General features: G+C 38.5%; 1 protein-coding gene across 7 annotated transcripts in view; it reads left to right on the plus strand.

Moving 5' to 3' along the window:
• MEGF10 (multiple EGF like domains 10) overlaps window positions 1-19,463 on the plus strand; it is a 231,923-nt gene that overhangs the window by 167,911 nt on the left and 44,549 nt on the right. For 6 of the 7 annotated variants that reach the window (XM_017009987.2, XM_011543694.1, NM_032446.3 and 3 more), the window contains 3 exons: window positions 1,466-1,586; window positions 5,336-5,472; window positions 13,179-13,391. In XM_017009987.2, coding sequence (XP_016865476.1) covers window positions 1,466-1,586; window positions 5,336-5,472; window positions 13,179-13,391 — 471 coding nt within the window. Of the gene's footprint in view, window positions 1-1,465; window positions 1,587-5,335; window positions 5,473-8,500; window positions 12,679-13,178; window positions 13,392-19,463 lie in introns of those variants that run through there. The other variant, XM_017009988.2, reaches the window with a different exon arrangement.

Consider the following 19,463-nt stretch of genomic DNA (forward strand, 5'->3'; position numbering starts at 1 on the left):
TGCATTAGAAGAGAAAAGGAGGAAGGTGTTAAAAATAATCCATAATAAAAGATTAACTCTTAGGGATACATACATTATTTAATGCTCATGGATACATATTGCTTTGTGAATGTGAAGATATATGTATTACATCTATGTAGATTTTGTGCACACACATAGTTTAATTCTTTCTGAGGAACATTCAAGCAACTACTTAACCTCCACTGTCTTTATTTTGTTGGAAGGGCATTCTTCAGTTCACTTCTATTCACCAACAGAATTAAGAGGCAGAAGTTGCTAAAAAAAAGTAAGAGATAGAAAAATCCTCTTCCCTTACTGAGAAAATTACATTTATAAATCAAAGAACTAAAACTTGAAAAAACAAAATGTGGCTGATTAGGTAAACACTTCCTGCCAACAGTGTTAAACGCCTGTAGAGTGGAGCTAAAGAAAAAAATTGCATTAGCCTAGAAAGCCCTGATTTTCAGAATTGATGATTATCTCAAACTGTTTAATTGTTAATATTGCTTTTATGGGTTTTCATCAAGACCACAATTGAACTGGGCTGTGGGAAACTTGGAGCAATTTCCCAGGAGAGCAGGAAAGACAAAGGCTTAAAGAAGAAGGGCCATGCGACACGTGGGTGGGTGAGGGAAGGGAAACTTGTCAGTCAGTAGGAGAGAACACCAAAAATGGATGATGAGAAGGAGTTCATGTCCTTTGCAGGGACATGGATGAAACTGGAAGCCATCATTCTCAGCAAACTAACACAGGAACAGAAAACCAAACACCGCATGTTCTCACTCATAAGTGGGAGTTGAACAATGAGAACACATGGACACAGGGAGGGGAGCATCACACACTGGGGTCTGTCTGGGGGTGGGGGGAAAGGGGAGGGAGAGCATTAGGACAAATACCTAATGCATGCGGGGCTTAAAACCTAGATGACAGGTTGATAGGTGCAGCAAACCGCCATGGCACATGTACACCTATGTAACAAACCTGCATATTCTGCACATGTATCCTGGAACTTAAAGTAAAATTTTAAAAATTAAAAAAAAAAGGATGATGAATATGTGCACAAAGGGTGTGATGTGCAACATCTCAATTTTCTTTGGGAACAGAACAAACATATAAACAAAAGTAGACTTAAACTGGAGCACAAGCGCTTTATAAGTGTTACATGAGAAGTTCCTGTCATCAATGAGTGTTTGGCCAGTTTTCTTCCTCAGTGTTCTCAGATAGGATAGCTTCTCTTCAAACCGAAATGGCTTTATTAGAAAGTACCCCAAAACAAAGGGAAGGACTGGGTGACTCCTCAAAGACACTTCCAGGCAATATGATTAATGTTCTTGATGTTAATTAATTAAATGAACAATTATTGAACACAGAAAGCTTGTCTATTTTGGGGACCCTGGGTACAGTGAACCCGAGGGTCATGTGTCTGGGAAATAACAGTGTCCTTTGTCACATGTTAATCCCTCAGCTGTGAGGATCTTTGTCCTCCTGGTAAACATGGTCCACAGTGTGAGCAGAGATGCCCTTGTCAAAATGGAGGAGTGTGTCATCACGTCACTGGAGAATGCTCTTGCCCTTCTGGCTGGATGGTAAGCTTCCTTCCCACCTCCTCTGCCCCTGCCCCAAAGTCACCCATTCCAGGATACTCAGTGCATACACATGCAGGAGACTTTAGCACAAAGGAAAGTTACCATGATGGTTGAAGATTCCAAAATTGGAAAGACTCAAGCCATTTTAAATCTGAAACTCTTCAGTTCTGAGGAGACAGAAGAAGGTGATTTAGTCCTAGACTTGAAGTGCATTGAAGGTTGTCATGTAAAGGGTAGTGGCCATCTGTCCTGCATTTCCCTTAAGGATAAAAAAAAGAGAGACAAATATCTAGTCTCACATGACAGTCAGTGCTGATAAACACTGGATTTATTTAACAATCATTTTCATAATTTTGTTCCATGAGTTGCTGTTGTTCTTTGGGAACATTATTCTTAACAGTGCAAGTGTCACCTGAAAAAAAATCATAGAAATCTGGGGATACATTGAGGTAAACCACATTTACCAAGTATTGCAGGACTTCTCAGAGCCTTGAGTGTGATAATCCAAGAGGAAGCTATTCAACATGTTTTCCAAATTTTGACGAGAATACCCTTTCTTCATGTAGCAATTTCACATGCTTAGAGTTATGTAGAATACACAGTGACAATTAGCTTCAAATTAGACATCTGAAATCAGGAAATATAATAATATTGATGTCATCTCTCTGAGTTGGTTTGTGCCTGTGTCTGCTTGAAGGCAGATGAGTGAGCAACCAATATCTGTTTCCTTCATTAACAAACTATTTAACAGAGCAATTGACTTTTTTATCACCTTCTATTTCCATGAGCAGTGCTAAAGCTGTTCTTTCAGAGGTTACAAGGGACTTAATTACCAAAACCCTTCTGTTCTCATTCAGCTTCATTTCTCCAAAGCTTTTCACTCTGTTGAGTACCAACCTCCCTTCCTTAATCCCTTTGCCTTCTATTTTTCTAATCATCCCGTCTCTTACCTTTCATACTAAAGATCCTTTTTCTAATCTCCCTTCTTCTGCATACTTCTTCATTACAGGATTTTGTAGGTTTAAGTCTTGTTCTTCTCTTTTCTCACCATAAATCCACTCTGGCAATCTCATCCAGACCCATAGCTTTAAGAAGTACTTGATGGTTTTTCCAGATTTTGATCTTACCTGCCTTGAGCTTAGATTTATATTTGTCACCCCAACCTTGATAACCTATAGACACAAAGCCACCGTCTCTTTGGGCAATGCCCAAGCTAGAGTCTCCACAGCCAGACCTGGTAGTAGAATTGGTCTGGTATTGCCTTTTCTTGTGGCTATGGAACAAAGGAGACCTGGAGTCCACTTTTCCATGAGGGTCTTGGGAAGTAAGAACAGTTTAAGATGTCAAGGCCACTGGGACAAGTATACAATAAAAATCAGATCTGAGAGGGTTAGAAATGGTGAGTAGCCCAGACAAAGTTCATTCTGGAGCCAAAGCATGGAGAAACAGCATGAGGCAATGGAGTTAGAGAGAGAGGAGAACTTTGAGTGCCTGAGGATGAAGACAAGGTGAAAAAGAAGCTGTTTAAGGAGTACTGAGCAGGTTTGAGTAGGCCTGGCAGAGTCAATGATAATAAATTTAATAAATCCAAACTTGTACACCCAAGCCTTTAGTAAGGCTACTCCTTCTCTACCTTTTTTGTCTTGGTTAAAACTAACACTTCTCTCTTAGTTGTCTGAGGTAAAGAAGCTGGGTTATTTCTGACTCCTCCTGTTCTTTCATTTCCTATACTCAGCCTTTTGCCAGTGTTGGTCTTTTGCAATGAAAGTATTTTGCTGGAGCAGCAGAGTGTTGAGAACTCCATGCTCTTTGGATAAGGATCTTCAGGCCTTTTACTCCTAGGACTTCTGTGTAGATATTGTCTGTGGAGTTGCCTTGCCTTGAGGCTGAAGCTCTTCTCAGTTGGGATGGTCAGGATGTGGGTTAATGGTAACCACAGGCTTGGGTTATGAGTCCCAGCACGTGGACAGATGGACCCCTCCCTAGCAGCCTAAGGGAGCCTCCTCTCACCTCTTTATCTGTGTCCCAGGCCCCTTACCTTACTTCTGCTTCAAAAATGCTTCAGTTTGTTTTTTTCTCCTGTGTAGCTGAGCTTTCAATTTATACTTCTTCTTTACAACATGTTATTTGTGCTGTCATCCTAGGTGCTTTTCAAAGATGAATATATATTCCTATAGACACACATACCTTCATATTGAAACGAAGAGAAATCATGTCCTCTTTAAAGCTGCTTGTGAATGTTAATCTTTATGCACGAAAATATTTCAGCGCATTTCTGAAGCTTATGTGGGACCATTGTGGGTAGTTAAGTCAGGCCCTGGGAGAGTGAGAATTTTCACCCCTTCTTACCACAGACTGACCTTCAGTATGTTATTCCTACAGTCATGCTTTTACCTCACATTAAGTATACCATGTCAGGCTAGAATGGAGAGACTAGAGCGATTTTTACATCCATTCCCCTCCCCACATTGTGAGCTAATTGAGGGTTGTTACCTTATCTTTGATTCTCAGTGCTTAGCTCAACACAGGCACATAGATGATTCTCAGTTAAGTGCTGATTCGAATCATCTCTCAAAGGCCTTTTCCATTCCAAGAGTCTGTGGAAGAAATTTCCCTGTTTGTAGATAGCTAGAAACCACCAGAGGAGACTTAATTAGCACACCAACTGCCTTTGTGGGTAGCCAGGAGTTAGAGGAAGTGTATTTTCTTATGCTGTCCAGAATAAACATTTAGGAAACCATCTGGTGTTCACTAGCCTCCAATTTCAGAGTGCCCACAGTCTGCCTTTTTTTAGAGAGAGGGAGGACAGAGCAACAGCTTCCAATAGTTAAAAACATTAGAAAAATCCCTGTTATTTGGGATATGTTGTTTGTCTAATTATAACTCCAATAAATAGATGAGAAGCTATGAGCCCAAGTGATACAGCCAAGTGAAGAAGAAAACAAGAGTATTTCATTGACTTATTGGTACAGTATCTTATTCCTATCCACGCAAGATTGGAGTAAATATAATGACTGTGCTTGACAAGATGGACAGCCTCTAGGGTGAGGAGAAATATCCACGTTACTCTCTTGGTTTTTCTCCCCAGGAAATAAGTTTTCCTATTGATCTTGGCTCAGCAATGCTTGTTGAATCTGCTGAAAATAAAATGTTTTTCTTCTGAAATAAATGTCTAGGTTCGTTCCTGTAGAAGTCTGTCTTCGGCAATGTGATTGTTAATTCAGGTACACAAAATTTCAATCTTGTGTTATGCTACATTTTAAGAAATAAAGCCAATGATAAAACATGTATTTTCTCTAGAACACATGGTAAAGCATTTGGATATTCCATGTGCGGCAGATGTTGCCATTTATGTAACGGATGCTCAATAAGTATTGTTGACTTATTGTGCATGTAAGACACAAGGAAGAACACTTATGAGGATTTATACATTCCTTAGGTTGCCATAATAATTTGATGTAACTTTGTTTTAAACTTCAGTTTTTAATATGGATTTTGCTTAACATTACTATTCAGCCGTCTTTGAATGTATCTTGAGATTTGGGCTTACTGAGTAATTAAGTCAATTTAATGTTTCTAATATTTTAAAGATGATGAACAGTTTATGTGCTCTAAAATTCTCTAATCTAATTTTCTTGCAGCCCTGTTCCCCATCCCTCCTTTCTATTTCCTCTCTTTTCTTCTTCATCCATCAGTTGTCTTTCCCTGGCTGGAGGCCCATCTAATTTTCCAAGTCTCTTTGAATGCAGGGCACAGTGTGTGGTCAGCCTTGCCCCGAGGGTCGCTTTGGAAAGAACTGTTCCCAAGAATGCCAGTGCCATAATGGAGGGACGTGTGATGCTGCCACAGGCCAATGTCATTGCAGTCCAGGATACACAGGGGAACGGTAAGGGATGCCCTTGTATTTCTCTGACTGTTTATAATGATGTGAAAGGAAAGTTTGTAGGGTCCGGGGAGCATCTTCAATACCATGTGTCCATGACTCTTCCATAATATTTCAGAAGTAGCTATACAGCCTCAATGTGTTTGACAGATTCTATCTTAATTCAGTGTATAGAAACTGAATTATAAATAGCAATGGTAAATTGAAGATAACAGAAAAAGCACTAAAAAAAAGACCATAAAATATCAGCTATTCAGAACCCATGATGAAAATGTCATTCTAGAGAGTTGAGTGTTTAGTACTGCCACTTACATTGTAAGTACTTGGTGATAGATTTATTTTTAAATGGGATGTGTACTTAGGTACCTTTCAAAAGTATAAAGTTACTTTCTTATGATTCAGTATTCTGTTAAGAATATTGATCATTATATTGTGTGGTGGCGATAGAGTCAGATCTGCTGGAACTTATAGGGCCCTCTGGTCCCACACGAAACAGAAAAAATGGCTGTGCTCATGCGGGTCTTACTGCCGCTGTTTATCATCCTCTGTATTTAATGGTAAACTGTTATCTCAGAGCGCTTTGCACACCCTACTTCTTTTTCTTTAATTTTTTTATTTTTATTTTTTTTGTGGGCACATAGTAGTTGTATATATTTATGGGGTACATGAGATGTTTTGATACAGGCTTGCAATGTGAACTAAGCACATTATGCGGAATGGGGTATCCATCCCCTCAAGTATTTATCCTTTGAGTTACAAGCAATTCAATTACACTCTTCAAATTATTTCAGAAAGTACAATGAAGTTACTATTGACCATAGTCACCCTATATGCTATCAAATAGTAGGTCTTAGTCATTCTTTCTAATTTTTTTTGTACCCATTAACCATCCCCATTTCCTCCACACCCTCCCACTATCCTTCCCAGCCTCTGGTAACCATTCTTCTACTCTCTGTGTCCATGAGTTCAATTGTTTTGATTTTTAGATCCCACAAATAAGTGAGAACATGTGATGTTTGTCTTTCTGTGCCTAGCTTATTTCATTTAACATAATGATCTCCAGTTCTATCCATGTTGTTGCAAATTACTGGATCTCATTCTTTTTATGGCTGAATAGTACTCCATTGTGTATATGTACCACATTTTCTTTATCCTTTCGTCTGTTGATAGACACGTAGGTTGCTTCCAAATCTTAGCTATTGTAAACAGTGCTGCAACAAACATAGGAGTGCAGATATCACTTCCATATACTGATTTACTTTCTTTGGGTATATACCCAGCAGTGGGATTGCTGGATCATAAGGTAGCTCAATTTTTAGTTTTTTGAGGAACCTCCAAACTGTTCTCCATAGTGGTTGTACTAATTTACATTCCCACTCACAGTGTACAAGGGTTCCGTTTTCTCTGCATCCTCACCAGCATTTGCTGTTGCCTGTCTTTTGGATATAAGCCATTTTTAACTGGCTTGAGATTATATCTCATTGCATATATAAATGCAAATCATTGTAGTTTTGATTTGCATTTCTCTGATGATCAATTGTGTTGAGCACCTTTTCATATGCCTGTTTGCCATTTGTATGTCTTCTTTCAAGAAATGTCTATTCAAATCTTTTGCCTATTTTTGATTGGAATATTAGACTTTTTCCTATAGAATTGTTTGAGCTCCTTATATATGCTGGTCATTAGGTTGGTGCAAAAGTAATTGCGGTTTTTACCATTGAAAGTAACGGTGAAGACCGCAATTACTTTTACACCAACCTATAACCCCTTGTCAGATGGATAGTTTGGAAATACTTTATCTCATTCTGTGGGCTGGCTCTTCACTTTGTTGATTGTATTCTTTGCTCTACAGAAAATTTTTAACATGATGTGTGCATCCTTCTTTTAATGCTCTTGAATCTGTCATGTCCTGGAAGACTAGGTAGCCAGGCTCACTGGATGTGTGTGTAGGATTTGAGAAGAGACTTGAGAGGCAGAAGGTCATAGTGATTGAAAACAATTATTTGGAATCTAGGTTTAGGTAAATGTGTCCCTGGAAACACTTTTTTTTTTTTGAGATGGAGTCTTGTTTTGTCCCCCAGGCTGGAGTGCAGTGGCATGATCTCGGCTCACCACAACTTCCATCTCCCAGGTTCAAGCAATTCTTCTGCCTCAGCCTCCCTAGTAGTTGGGATTACAGGCGCATGCTGCCATATCAGGCTAATTTTTTGTATTTTAGTAGAGATGGGGTTTCACTGTGTTGCCCAGGTTGGTATCGAACTCCTGAGCTCAGGCAATCTGCCTGCCTCAGCCTCCCAAAGTGCTAAGATTACAGGCGTTGGAAACACCTTTGTCTGTAACATCCTAATAATAATTGTGCTTCTCTCTAGGGTTGTAAGGATTAAATAAGTTAGTGTGTTAAAACATTTAAAACAGCCCTGGAACTTATCAGATTTTATTATTCTAGAGCAATTTCTATGAACTATGTAAATACTAGTGATTATCAGTTTGAGTGCTGTTTACAAGCTGCATAAATATTAGCTATCATTATTTTTTATGATGTCTTTGAATTAAGAATTCCCTCAACTTTTTTCCCCTTATTTTTTCTCTTTCTAAATCTTGGTCTAATTTTATGACTTTTAATAAGATACTGTCATGTTTGTTGCCTCCTGCCTCCAACTTAGACCCTGTACTTTCTTATTAAATTTATTTCTGAGTATTTTGTAATTTTTTAAAATTTCATTTCTGCCTGTAATTGGATATTTCTGGTTGAAGAAAAACTTGCTTTTGACTATTTACTTTTTAATTTATTCATACTACCAAACTTTCAAGGTAATTTTAATGTTGTTTTTAGCAAACTCTGGAGTTATTTAGTTATACTATCATATCATCTACAAATAAACATAAGTTAGTCTTTTCTTTTCAATATGTATAATGATTATTTCATTTCCTTGAATTATTGCATAAATTTGAGCCTCCAAATTAATGTTGACAAACAGCAGTAAAAGTAAAAATCCCTGTCTTGTTTCCAAATTTATTGGAATGGCTTCAGTATAGTCTCATGTTTGCTATTGGTATTTAGTAAATTATTTTCTTCATTCTTAAGTAGTTTTTTAAATCCCTTTTTTTAATTAAAAATTTTGTTAATAGTAGCTGCTTAATTTCATTAAATGCCTTTTTTTCTTTTGCTAATATAATTACATATTTTTCCTTTAATTTTTCATGCAATGAATTATTGACATCCTTAGTACACAGTTTTTATAACATGTAATTGGACTACTCAGATTTTGTAACTGACATCCTGGTTTTAGGTTGTATTTTGGATAGATTAGGCTGTTAGATAATTTCTGGATCCATTTAACATCTTATTATAGAAAAATGAGTTGGGGTAAGGGAGACACAAGACCAAGCACTATCTTAATAATAGTTTCTTGTCATATTTTAGGCCACTAAAATGGCAATATAATTTTTTTTTGCCCTCTAGGGATTTAAATTTCAAATTAGAGGTAGCACAAGAACAATAAACATACAAGGCAAATGAGCTTATACCTATTTCATCTGGAGTACAGGGAAAGGGAATAACAGTTAATTTTCAGATGAATTTTACATTTGAGCCAAGGAAGGCCAGGGGCCAGAGAAAGAGAAGGGAAGTAAAGAGAGAACTTGCTTCTCGACCTGCTGCTCTTGTAACTATTGTTTTTCTGATGAGCCAGTGACATGATTCCTGTTTTCAGCTGTTATCCCTGTCTGGGCTCTATAGTTAACACATGTACACAACAAACACATTTGTCACTATGAAAGGACAACAACGAATGGCCATGAGTCAGTCTGTGGCGGGAGGTGTGGGGAGAAAGGCCTTGATAGGCTGGGGTCTTAATTTGCCATTTCCCTTGTTTTGAGAAGTCAGTGAAATTTGATCAGTGAGGTTAGGGCAGAGGGCTGCTGGCCCTAGGAGCCTGCACAGAATTCCCAGGATGTGGGGACAGTCCTCCCCGCCAGAGAGAAATAAGAAAAATCCAAACAGACACCCTGTAGGCTGGCAGAGTAGTGCATAGATTGCCCAAATAAAAGGCTTTGGGGTTTGTGGAAAGGTTGAGAGGATATTGTGGTGAGTAAATGTAACATGACACAGTCAAGTAAGAGTGAAGAGACAATGGTTTCCAGATCCTTAAAAAACACCTTCTGAAGGGGTTAAAAGAGTTTCGAATGCCGATAGTGCTGCCGTAGGATCACTCTGGGCCCTGCGACAGCCTATTAGGGGCCCATGCACATGATTGGTGCTCAGTGAGTATTAGCTGGATGAAGGGATGCATGACTCAGTGATGAACTCTGTTAAGGTGAAGTCCAAAACAGCTCTGCCAAGTCTGTGTTCCATAGTACCCTAAAGGTGAAGATAAATGTGGGTGAAAGGAGGTGAAGTCAAAAATTATAGACAGGAATTGGGGGAATGCAGCATTGGTCGTCAATGGAGGAGCTCTTTCCTGTGTCTAGGAGCGTGGAGATGTTGGCTCTTTCCCAGTGCTTTTTACATTTCCCCCAGAGCAGCAGTTCCGGATGTTAGAAAGGTAGGCAGCTGATTCGTAGATTCCAGGTTTAATGAAGAATGTGATTCTTTCACACTAAATCATGGTTTGGCCTAACTATTCAAATCACTCTAGGGAAGGACATGCACAGAAGGTCAGGGGTGAAAGCGGTACCTGTCACCCCTTACACGTTAACTCACTTACTTTTTTCCTTAAGTTCACAATGACATACAACATAATAATAGAAACAATATTAAAACCAGTCTATGACCCTCACTGGTTTTGGGAATTGATGTGTTAATACTTTATCTCTACTTAATGCTTATCCATTCTTACCAATTCCAGGACATTACTTGAAATGTAAAAAAATTGGAAACCCCAAATTTCCATATGTCTACTGTGGCTGATATTTATTGCTATATCTTTATTACTTTTCTGCTATCTGTCCTAAGAAAATGCATTTCCTATTTCACTGATTTTTGAGAGCTTCTGTTCCATTTGGAACCGCAGAAGCAGCATTAAGGGCATAAAATTTGTTGGGAAATGGTGCTTCTTGAAGATAAAGAGACCAAGAAGGAGATAAAACTGCTTGATAAAGACTTTTAATGCAGCCAATCAGACAGGCATCAGCTATTTCATGATTATGTTTATTTTCAAGATGGAGAATATATACTTCTAGAAAGATATCCTACCATTTTCCTTTGGCAGATAGAAGTAGACATAACTATTATTAACAGGATTGTCCTACAAGTGCAACATTGACAAAACATAAAATGGGAATATGAATCCAGCTTAAATAATGGCTGCTTTAGTAAGTAACATTCAAATAGGACTTTTTGTTTTATATTTATAATGCAAACTAGTAGTGTGTTTAATTGTAGGTTAGAAAGGTAAATGTGGGTCAAGGCCAGCTATTATAGATTTTATTTTTCCTGAGAAAGGAAGTCTCTGCCAAGATATGATAAAATATACACACTGGTTCCCTGTAATTTGGTAACAGATAATTTCCCAGGCTTCCGATCTATACTACTTTCAACCACTTTTAAAGCTGTGCTTTTTACCAAGTTGAAATAATGAAGATAGTTTAAAACTTAACATTTGGGTTTGTTTTCAAATCCTTTTAGGAGACAGAAAATGATATTATTTATCTTTACCTTTTTCCTTTTGGAACTGACTTGCAAGAAAATCTAACAGACAGGTTGAAAAGTTGTCCTGACAGCCTTCAGTAGGAGCCATAATGAGACCACATTATTGTACTTAAGCATTTATTTCCTTAAAGTTTACATCTTTAAGGAAGAAACTAAATGACTTAGCTTATTGAAGCTTCTTAGAGGTTAAAAATAAAGAGCACCTTTTAAAAATACACTCTGGTCCAAAAATAGGTGTACCCATGTATAACTTTTAGGCACACGTTTTATTTTATGCTGAGTATTAGGTCAATTACTCCATAACTTTTCTAATGGTTTGTTGAGCAGTTGAAGGTTTTACCTGTTAACAAATACACCTGAAGATGTCTAGAATCTGTGAAACTAAATTTACATGAGATTCTTTTCCTTGTCTCCATCACATTAAATATATGCTAGAGCCAGAGGTAACCAGAAAAGCATCGAAAGGGCTGGTCCAAGTGGCTCATTCCTATAATCCCAACATTTTGGGAGGCTGAGGCGGGAGCATCACTTGAGTCTAGGAGTTTGAAACCAGCCTGGGTAACATAGCAAGACCTCATCTTTACAAAAAATTTAAAAATTAGCCTGACATGGTGGCGAGTGCCTGTGGTCCTAGCTACTCAGGCGGCAGAGGTGGGAGGGTCAATTGAGCCCAGGAGTTCGAGGTTACAGTGAGCTATGATGGCACCACTGCACTCCAGTCTGGGTGATAGAGGCAGACCCTGTCTCAAAAAAAAGTATCAAGATTTGTCCTCTACACTAAAATAGAATTCCTCCCACCCTGGTATTGTTACTTGTTGCACCCTATCATTAAAAATATGCAAAGTTTTGTGGAAACACTATTTCTTTGAAGTATGTTTCTTTTCTGCTTCTTTTAAGTGTGCTTGAATTTGTTATTATGCCTTACTGCTCACATGATACAGATCTAAAAAATGCAAGGCTGACCTACATTTCTGACTCTGGTTCTGGCCTGACTTGAGAGCCACATGGGAAGTGGCTGCCGAGACAAAGTGTACCCTTCTTGCGGCAAGTGCTCGGCTGGGCAAAGCCCTGTCTCCTTCCCTTGGCAGAAAGCTCCCCTTCTGCTGCAGAGAGCCAGTCACCTGGCCTAGTCAAAAAGAAACTTGGCTAGTCTAAGAACTATTTGTGCTTTCCATGGAGCAATGAGCGATCATTTTCTCTTTTCTATCTCGATTCCCTCTAGCAACTCAGCTCCCACCTCATTCGTCTTACCTAGAGCATATCCTTTCTCTTGGACAGAGCTCCAATGCCACTTTTAAAAAGATAATGAAGTGAATTTTTGAGGGCTGATCTTTACTCCTTGCCATTTGGCAGCCCTTCTTCCCAACAGAGGGCAATACCCCACTAGCCAAACATTTCGTGTTAGAAAACTCCAAGCCTTCCTACTGGCAGGCACTTCCCATGTTGGAATCGAGGACGTCTGATTTTGGTAGCTCAGAGTTTCCCAGATCTAAAGAGGACTTGGCTTATTAGTTAAAGAACTTTCTAACTGAGGAGGAATGATTACCATTCAGCTTTAAGTAAGAGTAAAAACGTGGCTAAGATTAAAAATTAATGTCCACATAAAAGCCAAGAGAATTAAAATTTAGTTTCAAATTTGACACAGAGTTTTCTCTTTGGAATTGGGAAAGTATGTTTTGAAATTTCATAATTATGGACTAACATTTGAAAATTTTTTTCCCATTTTCTTAGTATCTACTAAAGTGCTATGTAACTTTGGCAAGCACTAAGTGTAAACATGCCTCATGTCCTAAGCTCCTATTTTTGTTTTGGTTTCATTTTGTTGCTGTTGTTATTTGTTTTGTTTTTGTTTTCTACAGGTCATGCTGCTGTTACTACAATATGTAGCCAGAGTAATGTATCTTAACGCTTTTCATCCGTGTAATGGGACAATCACTAAATAATTGCAAGAGCAAAAAGCAGCTTCGATTTATGCATAACAAAGCCATTCCAAATTAACTGTTTATTTTCACATGGCACTAACTAATCTTTCTTCTTGCTCCTGCCTCTTGCTTGGTAGGTGCCAGGATGAGTGTCCTGTTGGGACCTATGGCGTTCTCTGTGCTGAGACCTGCCAGTGTGTCAACGGAGGGAAGTGTTACCACGTGAGCGGCGCATGCCTCTGTGAAGCAGGCTTTGCTGGCGAGCGCTGCGAAGCACGCCTGTGTCCTGAGGGGCTCTACGGCATCAAATGTGACAAACGGTGTCCCTGCCACCTGGAAAACACTCATAGGTGAGTGTCAGCTTCCCCTGGAAGGACGTGTCCTGTGAAAGTTTTAACCTTGGTTTTCAGGATTTGGAAGGAGGGATTGATAGAGTGATTCTCACCCCAAGCCCCCTCCTGCCTCTAGGCTACTCTGGGCAGGAATCGCCGAGTAAAAGGAAGACATTTTAACTTAATGTGTGATGGTCTACATTTGAGGTGCTAAAATTGTTCAATGGTTACTGGTGGATAGCAAATTCTATTCTCTATTAATGACCACTGATAAAAACAAAATTTGCTGAGGTTAGTAGAACTTTCCCTTAAGCAAGGGATTCTGTGACATTCCCTTAGAAGCAAAGATGCAATGAGAGACAAGGAGTTTAGCCAAATTTAGTATGCAAAAATATCAAAAAGTGATTCTTACTGCAGCATCTTTTATTCGACAGCACATCTGTGGAAGAAAAAAAAAGGCTAGAGAGAGGAAGTGAACTGGTGGAAGTTTTGTGAAAGTGTTTCACATGTGGCTGTCACATGTGAAATATCTTTTTCGAATTGATTACTCTGACATAGAACTCACAAGGGACTTTTAGCTCAAAAACCTCTCCAAGAATTTGAGAACAGGAAACCACGATCCTACCCACCCTACTGTACCTTGTCTGCCCTGAAAATGTCTTCTTACCCCTGTTTCTTCTTTCCCTCCCCCAGGGACCAGATACACATAACTTAGAATTCTGGGCCTCCTTTGCAGACTGCTGGAAAAGCTGAGTTTGACAAAAATGTAGTGCGTTATATAGCAGTTCAGATCTTACTAGAATTACTTTATTTGCATTCAGCACAGCTGTTACTTCATTTATACTTCTGAAAGATAACTCATAGCCACATCAAATCCCAAATGCATAGAATTTAAAAGTAAACAAAAGCGTGTGGTTGGTCTCTTCTTTAAACCATTGTTAGTAACAAAAATATAGAGTTTGCACTCTGTGTGTGTGTGTGTGTGTGCGCGCATATGTGTGCTGTAATACATTTTAGTGGGACATATGAAAGAAGTGTATTCTCAATATGATTCAAGTAACTTTGTAAGCCATATTAGTCAACTTTGGTTTTCTTCGTTGGAAAATATTGCCTTTCTTTACTTGACAAGTTTACGTAAATATTTGGGGGAATAAAAATGAATAATCTCCACAGGGTTTTATTTTTCAACTCTCTAATATTTAAGGAGCTGGCAGGATTAGGGACAAGTCATGAATTTGGGTCCCTTTCCTACAGTATAAGTCTTATTGCAGCAAAAAGTAAGCCTCATGTAGTGACAACTAAGAACATTACACCAGTGTGCTGTTCCGTTGTACATAGAGACAACTGAAATCAAATGGAATAATAAATCTATGCAAAGGAAGAGCTCTGCTATGAGAAGAATTGGAGAAGCAGAGAGCATGTTGGTTTTGTTGGAATTGGATACCATATTAGTAGTGGCAAGGTGCAAAGTGGAGAATTAGTTAATTGATGGCAATACTGTGGTAATTTTGACATAGGTCATATGTACCTAAGCATATATGTGTTAACAAAGAAGTACATGACATTTTTTGACAATTACATAGATCAATAACACTAAAATCTGTCTAATATTGTATACCAAATAATCCGAATATTTTAAAAAATCAGTCTTTTCATGATTTTGTAAATCATGAAAGGTATTTTTAAAGATTAGCTTTTACGAATTTCTATTAAAACAAGTTTAATGTTGATTATATGACTCTATCTTGTTGAATTAATCATTGGAGCCATCTATCTAGTTCTTATATCTTAAACTTCTATGTGTAAAACTCCTGGAAGCCCAAGGTCCCTTCAAACCAAAAGGCATAGAATCCTTGTATTAATTGAAAGTCTAGTTTGTTCACATTAGCATTTATCAAGCAAGTGGAGCCTTGCTGTTACATAATTTATGATATACTAAAGCCTTCCATTATAATTAATGAGATAACAAATACAGTGTAAATTAATAATGTACATTGTCTTTAGGTACATATTGAGTTCTATGGATATACACATTGACATATATTTTAGCCATATAGTTGGGTAAGGGTTTGTATCAGGTAGCTTTTGCAGCATTAAAAAACAAACAAACAAACAAACAAAAAAACTACTCCAAACCCAATGACGTAAAATAACAATTATTTACTAACTGATGATTTTTTGCTTGACTATGTGGGCTAGGCTCAACTTGGTGGTTCTTCTGCTGGTCTCCTTGTGTTCAGCTGGCAGATCAACTGGAGGCTAATTGGTCCTGGATATCCTCACTCACATGTCTGGCATTTGGCTGGGTGATGGGGCTGACTGAGCCACACATCTCCAGTATCTAGCAGGCTAGCCTGGGCTTTTTCACATGGTGACTGGTTTCTAAAACAGAAGACAGTACAGACCCCCAACATACACTTTTTAAGCCTTTGGTTATGTCATGTTCGCTAATACCCCTTTAGATAAGACAAGTCATCTAACCAAGTCCAGATTCAACATACCCCACCTCTCGATGGGAGGTGTTGCAAAGAATTTGTAGACATTTTTATTTTGCAATCTATCATGGAGCTGAAATGAATTTAAATATATTTATAAGTAATATTAGTATTTCAAACTTTAGCAGTATTATTGAGCCTAAAGATATTCACTGTGACCTGGACTTTTCAACTGAAAACTAACTGTTATGGTGGAAATGATTTTGAACAAGAAAATAAAATTTGAGATTTAATAATATTCCACATGCAATATAGAGAGATAGATTAACTGCTTTTGGTAATAAAGACATTTAATAGCCATGGACAATCCGGATGTGCCTATTTGCAAATGTCATGTAATTGTCATTATATTTGATCATTAATAACATCTAAGGAAATGAATAAAAAGAAGTTCAATGACTCTGTTTCAGCCAATATTATATAGTATTGGACTTTTGTTGTAATTCAACTATTAAACAGTTTCCTGGAATATATGTATATAGTTATATGTGTTTATAAAATGACAACTATTCCCATATGTGTATAATCCTATTTTCATATACACAAAGCAATCTGTTCTTTAGACAGAAAACAGGTAATGAGTATATCACCCTTCAACCTCCAAACTGCTGCTTCTACAACAACATGTAAATCTCATTACCAATTAAGCTGCCTGCATGAGAACCCATCAAATGCCTCCAAAGTGCTCTAGCTTCCTACATCTAATTATAAATTGCAGAATACTAATTTTGGTGTCAATCAGTCTGAAAACCAGTGTGCTGCACTAACACTCACTGGGGGGCATTGAATATCAATTTCTCAGCCTGCCTCTTGCTTTGTTGAATTCATTGTCATCCAAATTGTCTATTTTCTTTAACATTATGTCTACACCATGAATACTGTTTTCTACTTTTCAATGTAAAGTAATATTTTCTACCAAAAATATCATTTGTTTTACAATATGTTAAGATAAGGTAGGCTACTTAAACCAATCTATCACTTGAAATATTTCTTTTCCCTTTATCAAATGTAAGGACTTACTGAAGTAAACTTAAAAATTTCCCGTTTTTTGTACAATATTTGTTTTTACTGATCCTGTTGACCCCTTTATATGTGCCAAATTCTAAATCTTAGCAATTGTCCTTCATGTCTGGTCCCCTCAGCAGGCTGTTAGCAAACCTCCCTTTTCTTTGGTATAAAAGCAAACCTGGGTTCAAGTTTGATTCTGCCTCACTACCTGTGTGAGACTTTGAATAAATAATTTACCCTTTCTAGGCCTCTATTTTCTCATTTATAAAATGGGATCATACCATCTAGGATGGCTGTGAGGATTGAACTAAATGGTGCTCAGCACATTGCTGAGACTTACTCAGTGCCCAGTAAATGCTGACTCCTGGTCTGTGCGTTCACTTACAATATCATCACAAACATGGTGACATTCATGAGTTGTTCTCTGTGATTAATGGCTATTTCCTTTAAGCCAAGACTTTGACATTTTAAAAACGAATTTTAGAGGAAATCTTCCCCTTTGTATACATATATACTGAGGATAATTTAACATTGTTCAGTGACTCTGAGATGTCAGGGAGAAGCAGATTAATGTGGGAAAGCTAGATCCCTGGAGTCACATCCGCTGTGTATCACCTGTGGCATTTTCACTTATTCATTCAATCTGCATTTACTGTGGGCCTACCATGTGCCCGTGAAAGGTGGCAAAACAGATTTAATTCTGGCCCTCCTGGAACTCACAGTGTAGAAGAGAAAGAAGACATTAAAGGACTGGAAAAATAAACAGAATTATAGATTGTGAAAAGTGAGATGGGAAGAAGGATCAGGGTGGTAAGGAAGAGTGTAAGTGGAGAGACCTACCTTCAATTTGGGTGGACAGGGAAGGTTTCTTTGAGGAAGGGATGTTTAAGCTGAGACTGGAAAGACAAACTGGAGAGAGATAGGCAGAGAGTAAGGAAACTGCATCCTAAGAACATGGAATAGCCCATGTGGACGCCCCTAAATTGAAAAAAAAAAATGATGCTTTTACAAACTAGGAGAAATCCAATGTGGTCAAGCATAGCAATAAAGAGAGAATAATGATGAAAGAAGAGGTTGAGGAGTAGGCAGTGGCCAGATGATGAGGCCCCACGGGCTGTATTTAGGGTGATTGTATATCAGGTTTCACAAGGATAGTCTGGTTTAGGCCTGTTGTCCTAGTATAATTATTAGCAGCTCTCTCTTCACTCTTAAAAATGCCCTGGTTTAGACAATAAATTGTATAGTCACTGTAGCTATATTAAACAGTCTGGATTTTTTTCTAAGGGTAGTGGGGAGCCTTTGCAGAGTTTTAAGAAGGAGAATGATATGATTTACTCTTTAGGTGATAAGGCATGAGTGGAGATGGGCAGCACAGTTGGAAGGCTGTTCAGGAGGTGAGGAGATAGATGGCATTGGCTGGAGCAGAATGAGGACAGTAAAGATAAAGGGATGTGGGTGGATTCAAAATATATTTTGGAGTTAGAATGGTTAAATTCTAGTGATGAGGCAGAAGAAGTTATCAAGAATAACTCCTAGGCCAGGCATGGTGGCTCACGCTTATAATCCCAGCACTTTGGGAGGCTGAGACGGGCAGATCACTTGAGGTCAGGAGTTCAAGATCAGCCTGGCCAAAATGGTGAAATTCCATCTCTACTAAAAATACAAAAATTAGCTGGGCATGGGGCACACGCCTGTAATCCCAGCTACTCGGGAGGCTGAGGCAGAAGAATCACTTGAATGGTGGAGATTGTAGTGAGCTGAGATCGTGCCACTGCACTCCAGCCTGGGCGACAGAGAAAGACTCCATCTCAAAAAAAAAAAAAAAAAAAAAGAATAACTTCTAGATAAACTAAGTGACTGATGGTGCTATTTATGGAAATTTGGACAATTAGGGGTAGATACTGAGGGAAAGAACAAGGGCTCAGTTTTTGTTTTTGTTTTTGTTTTTGGTTTTGTTTTTGAGACGGAGTCTCGCTCTGTCCCCAGGCTGGAGTGCAGTGGCGTGATCTTGGCTCACTGCAAGCTCCACCTCCCAGGTTCACACCATTCTCCTGCCTCAGCCTCCTGAGTAGCTGGGACTACAGATGCCCACCACCACGCCCCGCTAATTTTTTGTGTTTTTTAGTAGAGACGAGGTTTCACCGTGTTAGCCAGGATGGTCTAGATCTCCTGACCTCGTGATCCGCCCGCCTCAGCCTCCCAAAGTGCTGGGATTACAAGTTTGAGCCACCATGCCTGGCCCAAGGGCTCAGTTTTTGACATGTTAAGTTTGAGATGCCGTGGAGATGCCATGTGACTGCTCAAGGATAAGAAATTGGCCCAAGGATAATAGAAGATAAGCAGACTTGAGTAGTTCTAAGTAGATCTGAGACTCACGCTCTGGTCCTGTGAATCTAAACCTACACTCAAGAAACCACCTTATATGTAGAGCTGTACTTAGGTATTCTTCATGCCATGTTTTCTGAGTGTTTGATGAATTTCTAGGCCCTTGCCTGTGAACACTAAGGTGCAGCAGGGTTCTAAAAGTATATTTAAATAAAATTCCAAAAATGAGCACCAAACTGTTCAACCCACAGGAATTTTCTGA

This window comes from Homo sapiens, chromosome 5, assembly GCF_000001405.40.
Source record: "Homo sapiens chromosome 5, GRCh38.p14 Primary Assembly".
In the NCBI taxonomy this organism is placed as follows: Eukaryota; Metazoa; Chordata; class Mammalia; order Primates; family Hominidae; genus Homo; species Homo sapiens.